Below are 18,073 nucleotides of genomic sequence, written 5' to 3'. Positions count from 1 at the left end.
TTCATTTCTCTCATACATAAGCATATACATACACACACACACACATACACTATATATATAGTCAAGCACGTTATCATTATTTTAAATACATGTTTACCTGTTAGATCAATTAAAATTAAAAAAAAAAATTTATTTTACCTTCACTTATTCATTTTTCTGATGCTCTTCCTTTTTTAAGGTGTATCTTCATGCAGATCCAAGTTTCTGACCTATATCATTTTCATTCTCATTGAAGAACTTATTTTAATATTTCCTGCAAGGCCTCTAGAAGTGGTCAATTTTAATGAAGAATTTAACTCCCTCTGTTGTTTTTCTTAGTATTCCAGCTAGCTTCTTGGTCTTATTTTTCTTATTATCGGAAAATTGTTGTGCCTATTTGGCTGGATGGACTAATTGGCATACATACTAAAAGTTTTCAAACTCATACGTGGAGTCTCCAGATGGGTGAATTACACTGTTTTTGTGTGTCCTTTGATTTCATTCATAAATCTACTCAAAATCTACTCAATTCAAAGTCTCAAGTATTTGCTACATCCCAATAACTTTGACAAATGAAGAAAATAACATGATTTAATAGTCAATATCTTATAGTTCAAAGTTCTTCTGATGATTTTCTTCAAAACAAGTGACCTAAAAAACATTATCATCAATGTTTACATTTCACATTCTTTCAAAACTTATTTTGCTCCCTATAGTAATAGCCTATGACAGAAAGAATTGATAGAATTAACATTTTCCAAATACTCAACTCTCATTTTCAAGATATACTTTGTTTATCATTATGCAAAATATCTCAAATCCACTTATTCACCTTTCAATAAAACTTTTACTACTATGACTACCAGGGATAAAAATATTATCAAAACTTCTTATAGATGGGATTCAGTGCTCTGTTTTCCCATTACTTATCATGTCTTAGGAATATCATGTGCCCACAAATACTTAATATACACATCAAAAGGCTATCATTTATATTTAGCAGCAATAATTAATATAGACTCTCTAGATTGTCCCCAAACTGTCTTTAAGAGGGTTTCTTCTTAAAAGTCAGATGCTAATTTGGCTTCCGGCAGTCATCTCTTTTATTTGCATAAATTCTGTAAAATACTCAGGTTTCTGTCTTTCTCAGTTCCTTTCAAATATAAATGATGTGTGCCCATATTTGCACTAAAAAGTATATTAAATACATGTACACTGAATACATATATTGGGTAATTTCAATATACAGTTAAATATTCTGATTTCTGACAATTAATGACCTGGCAAAGTGTTTTTGAAGCAATCCACAAGAGTAGTAATTCTTCACACATTTCCATATAGAAGGATGTAATATAAAAACACATTTGAAAACCATCCTATTGTCAAGACAGTGATTATTTTGTAATTATTAATACTTATATGACCTACAGCATTGAAAGTTTTCTATAATGCTAAAGGAGTGATGTATTTTGTTTTAAATGTATTTGATTTCCTTCAAGGAAATAAAAACCACTCATATCTACCCAACAAAAGAAGATACTTTGTTTCTGAAAAACCTAAGGAGCCCTGGAGGACAAGTTTGTGTGATGAATTTTGAAAACGAGGAATGACTATGAAGAATATCTCTAGAGATATCGAGATAAATAAAGATGAACCATGGAGAATTATCCAGCTCCCAAGAGTAATATCATATTCCTAAGTATTCATATGTCTAGAGGTGAGGACTCCGTAGTCTCATTATCCTTAGAAAACAAAGAACAAGGAGTATAAAACAAACTGTACAAGCTCCCTAAAAAATCTTTTCATAGAGATAATATATTTTTATTGTTTTTTATTTTTATTTTTATTTTTTTTTATCATTTTAGCCTGAAGCCTTCTAAAAATATGGCCTGGGAACGAAATATACTTTCCTGATCTCGCCAAGTTAGATTGGTATCAGCAGAAAATAGAGAATCCCAAGAGGAAGTATTTTCTCTCTTGTGCTTTGGAGAGAGACATGCGTGGATTCCTACATGGATATAGATGCAATGGATTTATAGATTAAGGAGAAGAAAAAACAGCATTCCCAGGAAAATCAGTTTGCAAAATTTTCCAAATTGCTTGCCCTTACAAAAATGATCATAGATCTTATCTGATTGTGATTAATCTGGATTTTTATTTATTTGGTAGCTTTAGGATCTGTGCATGATCAACAGAAAATATTTAGGAGAGGGGCAAAAATAATTTTCATACTTTTTCAATACAAGAAATGTATCTCATTTCTTTTTCAATTTACTTAAAAATATTAATTAGACACTCTCTTGGAGCCAGATACAATATTAGGGTCCAGAGATACAGTGGTATAACAAACTAGACAAGTTTTTGCTCTCATGAATGTTAATTTCTATGCTTATTGTAATAAAAATATTTTCAGATAGGAATAGATACTATGAAGAATACTAAATAGGATTATATGACAAAAAGGGTCTTCACGGTTGGGGAAGGTGGCTGTATATTTAGGATGGTTAGAGAAGGATGTTTCAAGACAGTACGCACAAGAGTACCCTAGGCAGCAAGATGGGCAATGCAATGGCCTAAGGTGAAAAGATGCTCTAAATGTTCAAAGAACTGAAGGAAGCCAAGTGAGGCTGAGGCATGGTCAGTAAGTGGGGGAGTGTCAACAGCCAAAGTCAAAGAGGCAGACAGAGGCCAGATTACATAAGACTTTAAAGTTCATAGGATGGGGCCAGAGTTGTATTATATATGCAATGTATCATGAGTCGTAGAATGAGTGCAGGCACCTGGTAGGCAGCTAAACAATTTTTAATATTAAAATAATATTGTGAATCTGCTTCCATTTGCACTTGCATTCTTAAGCCTAATTATTTTTTCATTAAAGTAGGTCCTTATGCCTGAGATCTCCTATTTTTTAAAATAGTATACTAACATTCAATCAAACTACCTCTATGATCGAGACAACTTAATTAACCAAAATGTATAAACATCTTTATCTTTAAGTAAAGATTATTTGTCATTAAAGAAGAGAAAAATTCATGAATTTTTTCATCCATCTTACTTGCCATGCATTTCTGCTGCAATTTAGTCATTAATCATTGCCTATATACTGCTGATAAAAAGACCATATCCAAACATATATATAATGTCCACTGGTGTATGCATTAATTGTGAAACATGAACTTTGTAACATTTTTTTTTATTTTCCCAGAGGGTAGCTTTTTGTCCTTTTGCCTTTCTTATAGACTAGACACTCTATACCTATGCCTGGACTTTTTTAAAGGCTGTGTCATCTTTCTAAACAGAGCACCTGTAAGGAAATAAAAAGATAGTCTTAACATAATGTTCTTTTATATCAATATTTGTAGACGTCTTTCTCCTCCCTTTCAGCCTTTCATGTTTGAGGCTTTATTTTTTACTAACTTAATAAACATTCATCTAGCTCTTTTTATGTGTCAGCTATTTTTCCATATAGTTTTACAAATATGGATTCATTAAATAAAACATGGCAATAATATTGAAGTGAAACTCAATAGCAAACTCATGACTACCTGAGTATGGTTTTTGTCAAATCATTCTAGGTGTTCTTATTCATTGCAACATAGCTGACATCATTAGCTTCCTTGGAGAAATTTTATTTTTGAAAACAAGTGTAGCTTGTTAACAAGATTGAAAATTTTGTATCATATAATAATGGCTTAATGTTTATTTGTTTGAGAGGTACAAATTTACTAAAGAAACATTAGTTGAAGGAATAATTGATTATACAGGAAATAATGATGCTTTTTTTTTTTTTTTTTGACTGTATCTCACTGTTAAAATGAGATACAGTCTGTTGCTCAGACTGGAGCCCAGTGGCGTGATCTTGGCCCTCACTGCAAGCTCTGCTTCCCAGGTTCACGCCATTCTCCTGCCTCAGCCTCCCGAGTAGCTGGGACTACAGGCACCCACCACCATGCCTGGCTAATTTTTTGTATTTTTAGTAGAGACGGGGTTTTACCGTGTTAGCCAGGAAGGTCTCGATCACCGGACCTCATGATCCGCCTGCCTCGGCCTCCCAAAGTGCTGGGATTCCAGTCATGAGCCACCATGCCCAGTCAATAATGGTGCTTAAAAAAAAAAAGTTCTTAAATATGAGATGACAGCAGGACATTCAAGTAAACATGAGGTCCTGTCCCTTAATGAGCAATAAAAATCACCAAGATCTCAAACAACATCATCATCAGAATATATTACTATTGTTAACTTTTTGGGTCAGCCAACATCCGGACACGAAAATGCTACGAATGGATTGACTGACAGATCAGCACATGGCTACAAGTGCCAACACAGTGGTTAATGTCAATAGAAGGAGAGAAAAATTTCAAGCAAAAAATTATTTCTCCTTAATGAAGGTTAAAATGTCAACATATTAAACTCAGGGTTTCTGCTTTGACTGTATCTATCAAGATAATTAATGTATATGCAGATTTCACAGTGTTGCTGAAGTTGCATTTTACATGAGCAAAACTCAGGAAATATATTTTTATATACAGTCAGGAAAGAATCTTTGACTGAAAGCAAATAGTTAGAATAATAGAAGGTTAACTAGGACACAAATTTTTAGTTTGCTAATTATTGAATGATGAGCTGTTGTTTGCCATGTTTTTACTTCATCAGATAGAGCTTTGTCTCACTGTAGGCATTCTTACTAATATTTTTCCCTTTCTTTAGGATATTTCAGGGCTCCATGAAAATGGCCTTAAAGCCGTGTCATTCATGGTATAATATCAAAGAATGAGACCTGTCATAATTTAATTGAACATACTAGTGATAACTGGACCTATAACCACTCTAAGTTATACCTGCTGTCTGCATCCTATCAGTATTATATAAAAGGAGTTATAATACATTATTGAATTTTTAGCTCACATATGCTAGAGATGCTGCTAGGAAATCCTCTTCCAACAGAATTGCTAGAAGCCATGAACAAGCACGTTTGAGACACATGCACATGTTGCGGAATGAGCAAGAAGCTATCTAAAACAATGAGACATAACTTCAGATAAAGATAACCCAAGAGACTGAGAAGATTGAAGCAGATGAAATGAGTGACTTTTACCTTTGACTTTTCTCTTACTTGTGCTATTGTTTTTTGATACATAGTTTTTATACCTTCAGGCCTTAAATGCCTCAAGGTACTTCTGAATCTATTTATTAGCTTCTCCCCAACTCCTGCCTGCCATTTCTGTTTGAAATCAAGTGAACCTTATTGAGATTCATGTTCCTGTGTTGCATTATTATCCATGGATAATAAGTTTAGAGTGAGTATAGGTGTGTAGGGAAGGAAGAAGAGAGAAATATGGAACGTGAGATTCAACTAAATAAATATGAAAATTATTTTAAAATTAAGATTGTTATCCCTTTCAAAGAGACAATTCTAATTCCAAATAGTTATCACTTATTGTGTCACATTGCAAAATGTCCTACCTATGTATTACATAATGTAAAGTCGAAACTAAGCCAATTATCTGCTTTGGCAGAGTTTTACTATTGGTGCTGGACCATCCATATTGTCTTAGTTCATCCAGGTTGCTATATAACAAAAAAACCATAAACTGGGTGTCCAAAAATATCAGAAATGTATTTTTCACAACTCTGGAGGCCTGGCAGTCCAATATCTAGTCACTGGTAGATTCGGTGTCTGTGAGGGCCTCATTTCAGGCTGATATATGGTGACTTCTTGTTCTGTCCTCAAATGATGGAAGTTGGCTATTTTACATGGGCACTAATCTCATTCCTGAGGGCTCCACCTCTTGCCCTAATCACCACATCAAATCTCCATTTGCTAATACCATAATCTTGGGGGGCTGGACTTCAGCATATGAATTTAAGAGAACATAATTATTCAGGTTATAGCCATAGAGAACACATGAAAATACTGTAAAGCTGAGTCAGACACCTTTAACATATCACCCACCACCAGATCATTAAAGAGAAGGCTAAGGATTCACAAGACAGATAGTAAGAATTTCTCTGGAGAGAAGTCAATGAGTATTGGGCAACTCATCTATTTCAGATCAAATTTGGGGAGGACGACTACATCAGTAGTTCTGGGGTTCAGACAATGCAGAAGCTAGTGCTTGACTCTGACCTGGCAAGCTTTAGTGGCAAACGTTTGGATAGAATTGCCTGATATGGCAAAGCAAGGAGTGAAGAACACAATTCACTTCTACTCAAGGCAGAAATATCTCAATTTCTGGTAGGCAGTGAGAACCTCTCAAAAAGCCAAACTTAAAACATCTGGCAACAATCCTGGCTACAGGTTTTCCTCCCCAGGGCTGGATGACCACAACAGAAAGAGCCTGTACAGGATGTCCCGCAAGCAGCTGGAGCTAAGGCAAAGGTAGTTAGTAGCCAATTGAGAAGCGGATCAACCACAGAACACAGTAAAGTCAAAAGCCCTCCAGGAGGACAGCAGGTGGTGGTCACTGATGACCCCCTAAAACACCCCAAGAGATAAGAAAGAGTATTTTGGCATCTGACACACCAAAAGAACATTTTAGCACATGACACATCAGTCAAGTAAGAAATTGATATTTCTTTACTTTTACTTTTATACTGGTTGAGTTGGAGACAATAGGTAAGTAGAGGAGAGGGAACAGAAGAGGCCAATTAATAGTAAAGAATCTGACCATGCTGCCGTTCTCCCCTTTAGGTTTCTTAGCCCAAGTTAAGCCTAAAATGACCTGACTTTAAATTGAATATGAAAACAATGTTTTAATTTATATCAGACTTTTCTGAGTCATACCTCACGATGAGACTGTTATTGAATAAAAGTAAGTAAGAAGATATTCTGGTTTTGCCAGGTTCAAGAAAGAGAAACTCAAAAGAGACTGTTTGAAAACTAATGATGTGAGAAAAGTAAAGCTATTTCAGAAGTTCACCTTACAAAGTTCTGGTGGGTTTAAGACATTATTACAGAATTCTCAGGACCTGTTTTCTAATACAGATGTTCAGGAAGATGGCCCTCTAGAAAATATAAATATTGACTCATCCAGGGCTCCATGAAACATCCATGTGTACATTTTTAAGGTTTTGCTATAATAAATGTCAGATGGACGTTTTGTCCTTTTATCCTTGTCCATAAACTATGCTTATCTTCTGCTGTGTATTTCTCATTTAGCCTTTGATTATTGCTGTCCTTCACTAGAATCTTTCAATCATCTAGACTGAATGAAGATCAAACTATCTTATGATTTCTTATCTCCTAAAATGTTTATTTTAGAAATAGAAGATTGACATTGGCAAAGAGGACAACTGATTGCAAACTTCACACTCACCTCTGATGGCTTTCAAAGGTGGCTATTTTTAGTTACCTCATAACCAAGGGAACTGTCCTCTCACTTATGCCCTGCATCCTGGCACCATTCCTAAGGAAAACATGTTGATGAAGGAGGATCTGTCATTCCTCTTTGATGAGCAGACACTGCAATAGAATGGGATGTGAAGTTGAGAAAACAATCAGCTCAAATAAAGTTGACTCTAATATCTTGATGCAAAGGGGAAAAGCAGACATAGTTTTTCTTCTCAGGGCTTTGTTTCTCCATCATCTGTGAGTAGAGAAATGAGTGACGCATCAGATAGCCTCTTCAAACTCCCCTGTCTCATCATTCCATAGGTTTATCTATTTGAACAGCAGACTAGCAGATACCGAGGTTCACCGTTTTTATCTCTCAGACTCCACGTTCGTTTTCAAAATTGCCTTTCAGAATTTGGTTAGCCAGGATTGAACATGATCACACCGGTCAGATTAAACCCATTTACATTCATTTTTATTCATTGTCATTACTAATGTTTATTACTATTTACAGGCAAAATCTGAAACCTTAAGGCTTCTGAAAAAAAAACCATTAAAGAAAAAAAAACTGTGGTGAATAATGCATTTTTTCTTCTTCAGAGGATATTTGATTTGCAGATATGCAACCTTTTTAAAAATAAAATAAATGAGGTTATCCAGTCTCATATATGAAGTTCTTTTTTCTAATTTTTAATGTAGGGCTATTTATCTCTCAGGATATCAACATTTACACTCTGTCTCATAAAACTTGGTGTTTGAAGAATGCTTGAACTTACAATAAAAAATTATAGTAGTAAGCATCCTTTTCAATTACAATTCTCTGGAATACCTTTTTCTTTACTTCCAAATTTAAATTTCAAATCCTGCATAAGTATAATTATTAGAAAACAAACTTGCTATATTTTGATTTGCTTTCAAATTAATAGAATCAGAATAGAACATATTGTTGATTTTAAGACAATTGCAAGTCACATTTTGAAAATGCTTACTGCACTATAAATCATGTGACTTCATTTCCCAGGATGATAAATGGTCTTTGGCCAACTTGTCACATTTATTTATGTATGTTTCATGCTTCCCTCCTTCGATGTTTTATGTCGCTGAAGGTAAATTGAGTTTGTGCCTGAAAATGCACATGTAAGTAACTTTACCCTTTTCACCAGATTGACTGGCCCATTTAGTTGATACAAACATGCACACAAACACAATAAATAAAAACAATAGCAAAAATAATGAAAAGGAAATTACCTGGTACTTAGAGAAAATATTAAGCATTTGAAACCTTCATCAAAGTTTTTGTTTTTTATCATTTTTGTTAGACAAAATGTCAATTGAAATTAATGCTAATATCTAGTCAAAATTTAGCAGTAATTATCTATCTCAATTTTACCTCAATTAAACCAGCAATCTCAAGTAGAAATTTCTATAGAAGTCTAGTGGTGACATGTAATAGGCTATTATGAGAATTAAACTAAATGTATGGAATGAAGAAAGAAGACAGTTCTAGTGTCCTGTGAAAATGGAAGCCAGATGGCTTGGCCATCATACTGAAATCATGCACCTGATGGTAGAACAAAATTAAGTTGAATTTATTCTCTTAAGAACGTCACTTCCAGATAAAAGATTAAGAAAAATAAGTGTTTTAAGTACCAAAAGTCACAAATATTTTTAACTTTTAAATGTTAATAACACTTTTTTGCCAGACGCAAGACTTGAGGATTGCTATTTACAAAAGGTTTCCATTGCGATCAATATTTTACGTTTGTTTATTGGCAGAAAGGTAACTGAGAAGTGGATAGTTTTTGATGCTGCTTTTGTAGTTGTTGTTATTACTGCTGCTGCTGCTGCTGTTGTTTTGTTGACCCCTGAATCAAGAGTGTATGAAGACAGCACTCAGGAAGAGTGGACAATACTCATTTGGAGAATTTGACATATACTATGGTTCCCATATTATTTAGATAGTAATGATGGTTTCTTGAAAAGCCATCCCAACATTCCGAGGCATTGGACATCCACAAATCCCATCCTACTCCACTCTGTGAATCAAATTAACAGAAAAATTTGAAGTTTTAAGTCGTAGTAGCTAATTAGCAAATTCTATTCTGTATTGCAGTTGTTCTCAGCCTGTTCTTCTCCTGTCTGTACTATATACGAGGTACCCTCCACTGTACCAATGCAAGAAGACCTAATTTAAAGTCTGTAGTCTCTTGTTAATCAAGGAAAAACTATTGAATGCCCTATACATTTCCAAGATTGTGCCAATGTAGCAGGTAATATGCCAGGAATGGAATAAGTCTATACGTTTATTTTTCTGACTTATGCTTCCATTTTGGTCTGATAAAATAAGTACTTATTGGAAATAACTTAGGAGGCCTTTTAAGGAATTAGGTAATCACTTCTGTGATTTCCTGGACACAACATTAATTAGCTAATGATTAATATATTAAATCAGCACTTTTTTATACTGTTAGATTCTTATTTCATACATGTTTACTACAAAAATATATACAGAAAGTAAAATATAACCATGAAAAGTGATCAAATGTGCAGCTGGAGCCCTGACCAATCTTCAGGTTGTGTGCAAAATAAATTAGCATTTGTTGAAGCCATGAATCTTGAGGTGAGGTATTTAAAAATTTGGAGCACCAACTTTCTTGTAGGATAATTATTTCTCAGTATATTTGCAAGTTAAAAAGGAATAATTGGTAAAACATTAAAAATAAATATGGGAAATATAATCCTTGGCCACAAATTTCTCTTTATCTGATCTTTCTTCAGACATTATCATGATAATTTTTTCAATTTCCCTTTCATTATTTGTTTTATTTTAAAATTATTATTAATATTCTATTATACTATAACAGTATAAATAATATATTATTTAATAATATAATTCTAGAAGTAATATTATGGTATTTTATTATTCATGTTATTATCTATATTCATTTTGCTGTAATACTGATACGATAATATGAAAAGATAAATCAAAACCAATAAGGTCTGTACCATGGACAGTAGAAGGAGTAAATTAAGAGTCTTAATTAGGCCTGGAGTGATGGCTTACGCCTGTAATCCTAGCACTTTGGGAGGCCGAGGCGGGCAGATCACCTGAGGTAGGGAGGGCGAGGCCAGCCTGACCAACACGGAGAAACCCCGTCTCTACTAAAATGACAAAAAAAATTACCCAGGCATGGTGACGCATGTCTGTAATCCCAGCTACTCGGGAGGCTGAGGCAGGAGAATCGCTTGAACCTGGGAGGCGGAGGTTGCGGTGAGCCGAGATGGCGTCCCTGCACTCCAGCCTGGGCAACAAAAAGGGAAACTGCGTGTCAAAAAAAAAAAAAAAAAAGAAAAGAAAAGAGTCTTAATTTTGGCTCCAAAGCTAAGAGAGTAGTCTGGTATCTTTTGTGGTCCCAATTTGTAAAGAGAGGTACTGGACTAGGTGGTAACTAAAGTTTTTTCTCATCTCAAATAGTCTGCCCTGAAAATAATAATAATAATATAATCCATTGTTCATGTATAATGAATTATAATAATTATCCAGAATTTTTTTATTGGAAGAAAACTTGTTGTACTTTTATGTTGGCCTATAATGGTGGGATATAAAGGTCCCAAGGGCAGCTTCCACTTGAGCCAGGGAGAATATCAACGACAAAACAGTGTAACTTCCCAGATGGCTACTTTTTGGAATGTGCAGTTCTGACATAAATTAATTTTTTTCATCAAAAGCCTTTTATTCTCAGCCAAATCCTCTTTAAAATGTCATTGCCTGAGGAGTCTGGGTAATTCTGAAAGGATCATGAAGATAAACTGTTCTTGATACTTACAAAGTGTGACAATGATATTCTAATATAGAATGAATACCTCCAAGCATTTCCCTTAATTTGTGTAATGTGTGTATTTTTCCTTTTAAACTGGCTTTAATAAGGTCTTAAAGATGTCTGCAACGCATTTGACTGAATGAAAAGATAATTATTTCCTAAAGAGTTAGGAAGATATTCATCCAATGGTCAAATGTTTAGGCATGTACTTTCCTGCTTTTGCAGTATGAACACATTTCCCAAGAGATTTCAGGGTCAATATCTTTTCACATTTTTGTCTTTAGAAGTAGCGAACAAAGCTACTCACAAAAGCACGCGCACACACACACACATATATATATATAAAGATTTTGGTGATTCTTTTCAGTGGGCTAGATTGTTCTGCTTGACCAAAATCTCCTCTGTGGATCTCTTTGATCAACATAAAAACTGTTTCCCTTTCTAGTATTAGCTCACTGCATTGCCAGAGCTTGAGTTCAGTGATTCTATATTGTTGTTATACTGGCAGTGCTAAACCTTAGATGCTCAATTACGATGTATTTGAAAAATAAATTATTGGATAAATAAATATTGCTAAAAAGTATGTATCGTCCCAGTATGTATCCCAGATCTTCATTCTTCTCCCATATATTTGAAATTCTCACTGAGAGACACTGCTAGGATTACAAAGTTGTCTTGAAAGGGGACATATTAGTTATTGATCCATTACCACCTTGGTACAAACTAAAATGTATCCCTGAGGGAGTGTACCTTTCTTGGATTTCATAAGATACAGGAGAAGAGAAAAGACAAATTAGGGCTTTAAGTACTCTGAGAGGTGAATAGCACATTTAAGTGGGAGGCTTGGGCACCTTGAGAACAGGGAAAGGATCAGAATTGTTGGTGGGAAGTAAATAGAGAGGGTTGCTCATAGGAGAAAAGAAGGGAACCATTAAAAGTGATCTTCATCACAGTTATGTCTGGACCACTCCCCGACTAATATTAGCTTTAATCTAGAAAGCAAATAGCCATGGTATTAAAATTAGGGAATCCCAACACAATCACTTTCACTGTTAACTGTATGAGCAGAGTGCCAGGGTACTTCAGAGTGGAGAATTTGTGAGAAAAAAATTTATCTTTGTTTATACTTTCCTTTTCACTCCATTCTTTCAGGAAAACAGGAAAGGGTCTTTGATTGCCAAGACACTTTGAATGTAAGGTCCCAAAACTTACCGTGTAGGCCATCTATCTAATCATATAATTAAAGATTGCTTTTGAAATTAAGAAAAATCGGAAGCCATAGAATAAAGAGATGGGTGGGGGAGTAGGAAGTGGGTCTTATCTTCACTTTTAAACAAAATAAACGTGTGCAAATAATTTTAGATAATATTTGATGTGTGTATTGTAGTGGTAGGAGTGATTGAAAAATAGAAGATACAATACAATAAAATATAAAGTGATGAACATTTTATGTTAATGTTATGATTTTGCCAAGTTCCTGCTCTATTTATTTTTAGCAATGCTGGGACAAAAAAAGACACAAGGCAACAAAACTATTTTATATGATGCACACAATAATACTAAAAAAAAAACACATTATCAGAATAATCATAATAGGAGGAATTAAAATAATTTCCTTTTAATGGATACAAATAAAGTGTTATGCACTTAATTTTCTTTTATTTAATCCTTATAGCATCTATGTGGCCACAGAAATTGAAGTTAAAAAAGATGAAACCACTTGTCCAAGTTTCCATTTTTAATAGGTGGTGGTGCTGGATTTCAGCGTGAGGGTTATTAGATTCCAATGACTTTGTATTTAACTCCTTCAATACACTGTTTCCTTCACAAAAGTTTATGGCTACATGAAGGTTTTAGAGGAAGTCTTTGTTTTTTTCAACATGGACAGAGTTAATTTAAACTGGTTGGAGAGCATCTACCCTTACTTTTAGTATGTTATCTTCTTGGGATCACACAGGATTACTGAATACAATTAACATCTAAACAAATTTGATAAATTCCCACAAGTCATGTATGGTAGAATTAAGTGTATGAGTCTTAATTAAACCATCAGGTCATAACTACCTGTTTAAAAGCACTGCCGATACCTGTTCTATCACTGTGTACCCCACTGCTTTAGTAAACCTCTCAGCAATGAAGATTTAAGTAGCATTTCCAAGACACTGTATCCCTTCCAGATGTTCTCTGCCCCTGGAAAATCTTAGTGAAGGGAAGGAGAATAGGTTTCTCAAGCTTGATCATTGGACTTTCTTCCTTGGACCTGCAACTTGGAAAGTTTCATCCTTTTTCACTGTAAGAAAGTGCAAAAACTTATTTTAAAATGAATTGTGCAATGGAAATGCATTTTAAAGAACTGGCATGCAAATAATAAGGCCATCGGTGACTTTCTCAGCATAAACTTTTTTGATAATTACAATGTATGTATGCATGAAGCAATAATGAAATAAATTATGACAGCACTAAAGACATATTATTATATAGAGCACATGCAAAGAAGCCCTTTTCTGGGGGTAGAAACCGGCTCATTCTGGTTACACGTATATTTAAACGTTGTTACTGGCAGAGAGCAAACATCATTTCCCTGATGCCTTATAAACAGTGCTACAAAAAAAAAAAAATAAAAAATGTTCTTTGAACTAATTGGAACCCAGTAGGGAGGAGGGCAAAGCAGATACTGTGAGGTTTCAACTTGAATATTTTCCTTGCCATTAGAACAACTTGCTTTCTAAGCCAAGTTTTCTTTCTTTTTACTTCCATAACAGTGAAAGTGGCCCCAGACCTCTCCTATTCTCCATTATCCCCACCGAACTAAAGGGAAGTTAACAGCAAGGGAGAAGTAAGTAAAAAGCTCTGGAAAGGAGGGAAATTGTTTAAAAATTTATCTGAAAAAAAAAAATCAAATAAAAAAAAATTCCCACCCAGGGGAGAAACCTAAGGTCACTGAAAAATAAGAAATAAAAAAAAAAAAATCTTCAAAGAACTAAATGCTGGTGCTTAAAAAAGAGAGAAAAACCAAGATAAATGCAGATGCATTTCAGGAGACAAATGCCCAGAAATCATCCAGGGACCAGCCAGTTCACCATCAGAAATTATACAAAGCTTGAGAATCTGATGGTGAAATTGACCCAGTGGTGTTAGCAGGTCATAATCAATTAATAGTGAACAAATGCCTTCTTTTCCATTGAATACCAAGTTTTTGTCCAGAAGCTAAAATCTAATAAAAACTGAATTTAGTTATTACATTTCAAAGTAAATGTATTCTTTTTTATCTCTCTTCTGTTTCTACTGTGTTTGAGATGCAACTTAAATAATGCCAACAACTGAATGAACTGCAACAGAGCATAAGCACTCAGAAAATATGAAGTGCAGGTCAATCAGACTTCAGGCTTCTTGTCTCTCACCTGAGCCCTATTCTTCATCCCCCTGCTAACCTGTCTGCTCAAAAAGCTGTGGTTAGAGAAGAACTTTCCAGGGCAGAAGAGATTAGAATAGATAAAAACAAGGCAACAGCTTGAGATGAAAGGACAGGAAAAAAGAAAAAAAAAAGAGTGCTTTATGGTCACTGTTTTATTAATAAGTAATTGTGACTAGAGAATATTTAAAAGGCTACTTGAACATATTCTCATATATTAAGGTAATTTATGGAATTCAATTCAAGAAAAGTGTTACAATTTTAATTGCAAAGTATCAAAGCTGCCTACAGTGAGTGTCAGCACTCCTGCGTTAATTTACCTTTCAAATCCTTATGTTTTGTCCGCTAGATTTTGGCATATCCCACAATTTTTCAAGCAACATCTTGACATGAAAGGACAGGCAAAGAAAAAAAAGAGTTTTTTATGGTCACTTTTTTATTAGTAAGTAATTGTGACTAAGGAGAAATATTTAAAAGACTACTTGAACATATTCTCATATATTAAGGTAATTTATGGAATTCAAGAAAAGTATTACAATTATAATTATAAAGTATCAAAGCTGCCTGCACTGAGTATCAGTCACTCCTGCATTAATTTACCTTTCTAATCCTTATGTGTTGTCCACTAGACTTTGGCATGTCCTGTAAGTTTTCAGTGTGGGTTCTGTATACATATTTTTTTGAGACATGGTCTCACTTTGTTGCCCAGGCTGGAGTTCAGTAGTGCAATCATAGTTCACTGCAACTTCAAACTCCTGACCTCAAGTGATTCCCCTAACTCACCCTCCCAAGAGTAGCTGGGAACACAGGTGCATGCCATTACACCCTACTAATTAAAAAAAAATTTTTTTTTCACAAAGTCAGAGTATCATGATATGGTCCAGGCTGGTCTTGAGCTCCTGGCCTCAAGCAATCTTCCTTCTTGGCCTCGCAAAATGATCAGATTACAGGCATGAGCCACTGGACCCGGCCTATAAAGTTTTATAGTGATGTAAAACATGATTCTAGAAAAACTCAGATGTTTCCTTTTCTTTTTCTTTTTTTCTTTTTTCTTTTTTTTTTTTCACTCTGTCACCCAGGCTGGAGTGCAGTGGCATCATCTCGGCTCACCGCAACCTGTGCCTCCTGGGTTCAAGTGATTCTCCTGTCTCAGCCTCCCGAGTAGCTAGGATTACAGGCATGTGCCACCATGCCTGGCTAATTTTTGTATTTTTAGTAGAGACGGAGTTTCGCCATGTTGGCCTGATTGGTCTCAAACTACTGGCCTCAAGTGATCCACCTGCCTCAGTCTCCCAAAGTGCTAGGATTACAGGTGTGAGCCACCATGACTGGCCAAACTCAGATATTTCATATTTCTTAAATATTACTGTTTAGAAGTTGTTGTGTAATTCTAATTATCTCCAGGAGGATGGTTACTCCAATCTCCAGTTAAGAGTAACCAAATTTATGACCAAATAGTTTAAGGAGACAATAGGTAAATATGTGATTGAGTGCAGGTTAGTCTGGACATTTAGAGGAACGTGGCATCAGAACCCTGCTTCTCCAGTTATTTGACCTGGCCCTTGTTTTGTCCACGTTGATGCAGACAGTTTCCATGTATCATTCTGCTGCCTCCTATCTGCCCCAGGCTTCTATGCTGTTGCTCCTCTATTTATTTCCCTTCAGGCACTGCCTCATGTTCTGAACCTATGTGGACTTCCAGGATCTACTGACATCTCAACTCCTATTATACTCTTTACTCGAACATCCTTAAGGAATTTTTGCTGTTGTTATTGTGTTATTCAAGTTGAAGAAGTGGTAAAGGCCTTGCTCTTAGACATGAGGTTTTTTTCCAAATCTTTTATTTATAACTTGTGCGAGCCCTTAGCTTTTGAGACTAAAAAGCAAGGAAGAGTCTTCCTTTTTTTCTGCATTATTTTGTTACATACATATGCAGAGTGAGTAAAAACACAAATTTCCTATGTATCCAAATGTGGACTAAGGATATAGGAAAAATATTTGTTAATCTTTCACAAATATTATTCTGTCATTTGGTATATTTAGCTAATGCTAGGGAATGTTTTAATTCCTCTACATTTAATTTCATATCCCCAAGTGCTCTACAGCTCTCCTGGTAACCCTCACTCAGCTCAATACCATTCTTAAGAACTGCACACAGTATTTGCCCTTGTAGTAATAGAAGATAAACACAGAAAAGAAACAGAAATTATGTTTTACACACTTACATCTTACCTCTTCTGGATCCTGACATTCCCCTCCCTTCAAGTCTGGAACTCTCTTGTCAGGTAAAACAAAACAAAACAAAACAAAACAAACCACACACAATAAGTCAGGCATTTTGATTAACATAACCAGGTTTACAGGTGCAGACTTAGTTATAATGGAGTGGTCTTTGTCATCTGGGAAAATATAAGCACATTTTCTGGCATTGTGTTCAGCCCTAACATGTTAACAATTTAAAGCCATTTCTGTAGGGTTTGAGGCATTCCAGGAGCCCATTTGTACAGAAATCCTGTCAGCCACCAGTACTCTCTGTGTAATGTTGGATTGGGGCCTGAGCCAAATTGCTGTTCTCCTGAGAGTCCGCTTTAAAGTTCACACTTTTTCTACTCCAGAAGGCTAATGAGTACTATGTCTAGAAAAGATACAATGTGGAATTGGCCATGAATATTAAATTAAAAATAAATAAATAAACACTCCACACAGAACAACCTGTTTATTGTGCTATTGCTTGAATGCAATTTCCATTATCTGTAATAATTCATTACTGTCTTAAAAGCTAGGGCTTCAGCTATTTCCTAGTAAATGCATATTATCCAGCATAGCAGTAACGATGAGTTAATCAAACAAATATCTCTAAGAACATAGAAACTATATATATATATGTGTGTGTGTGTATATATAGTGGGGGAAAGAAAGGAGGAACTATTGATTGCTTTTGGAAAGAACACTCTTGTGGAACCTGTTAATGGCTCATTAATCTGCTTTTAAATTCAGAGTTTGCATTTGGAATTTGGAGGGAGGTGAGCAGTGCAGTGATACTTTCACAGTGTCCTCTCTCTACCTCCATTGTCTCTTCGTGAGTCTTAAATGAGCTGCTATGTTTGTCCAATGATAGCATAGGTTTAATATGGTACGATGCAGATTCCTAGTACTGAAGGAATTTTTCTTTTAATGAGTTAGTTTTCACTTCCACTTCCATGGTAGAATTGGTGGAACTAAAGTTAGGGAAAGAACAATAAGACTTAAAGTATTTGTTCAAATTTAGTTTTTTTAAAAAAGTATGTACTTAAAAGAAACCAAAACATCTCACAAACAAACTGAGCAAGAGAAAAGGACTTTCACTGATATGCAGGCTGATATCCTGAATCCCATGGAAGAATGTATTGGAACAAATATTTTAGCTAATTATTAATGATTTCATTTAACTATTTAAATGAAACATGTACCAAATGTGCTTCCAAATATACTGCATTTCAAAAGTAAGCACTTTCAATAAATAATATATATGTGCCACATTTTTTTCCT

General features: G+C 34.9%; 1 long non-coding RNA gene across 2 annotated transcripts in view; it reads right to left on the bottom strand.

Annotated features, from left to right (window-relative positions):
- The window catches only part of LOC105373643 (uncharacterized), a 144,473-nt gene that overhangs the window by 47,782 nt on the left and 78,618 nt on the right, over positions 1–18,073 (bottom strand). For both annotated transcript variants that reach the window (NR_188041.1, NR_188040.1), the window contains exons 2-3: positions 7,296–7,441; positions 139–630 (exon numbers count right to left, since the gene is read on the bottom strand). This is a non-coding gene — a long non-coding RNA (uncharacterized LOC105373643). The remainder of the gene's footprint in view (positions 1–138; positions 631–7,295; positions 7,442–18,073) is intronic.

Source organism: Homo sapiens, chromosome 2 (genome assembly GCF_000001405.40).
Source record: "Homo sapiens chromosome 2, GRCh38.p14 Primary Assembly".
NCBI classification, from domain to species: domain Eukaryota; kingdom Metazoa; phylum Chordata; class Mammalia; order Primates; family Hominidae; genus Homo; species Homo sapiens.
Note: the sequence above shows the minus strand (reverse complement) of the source record. Positions and strands in the feature narration are given on the sequence as shown.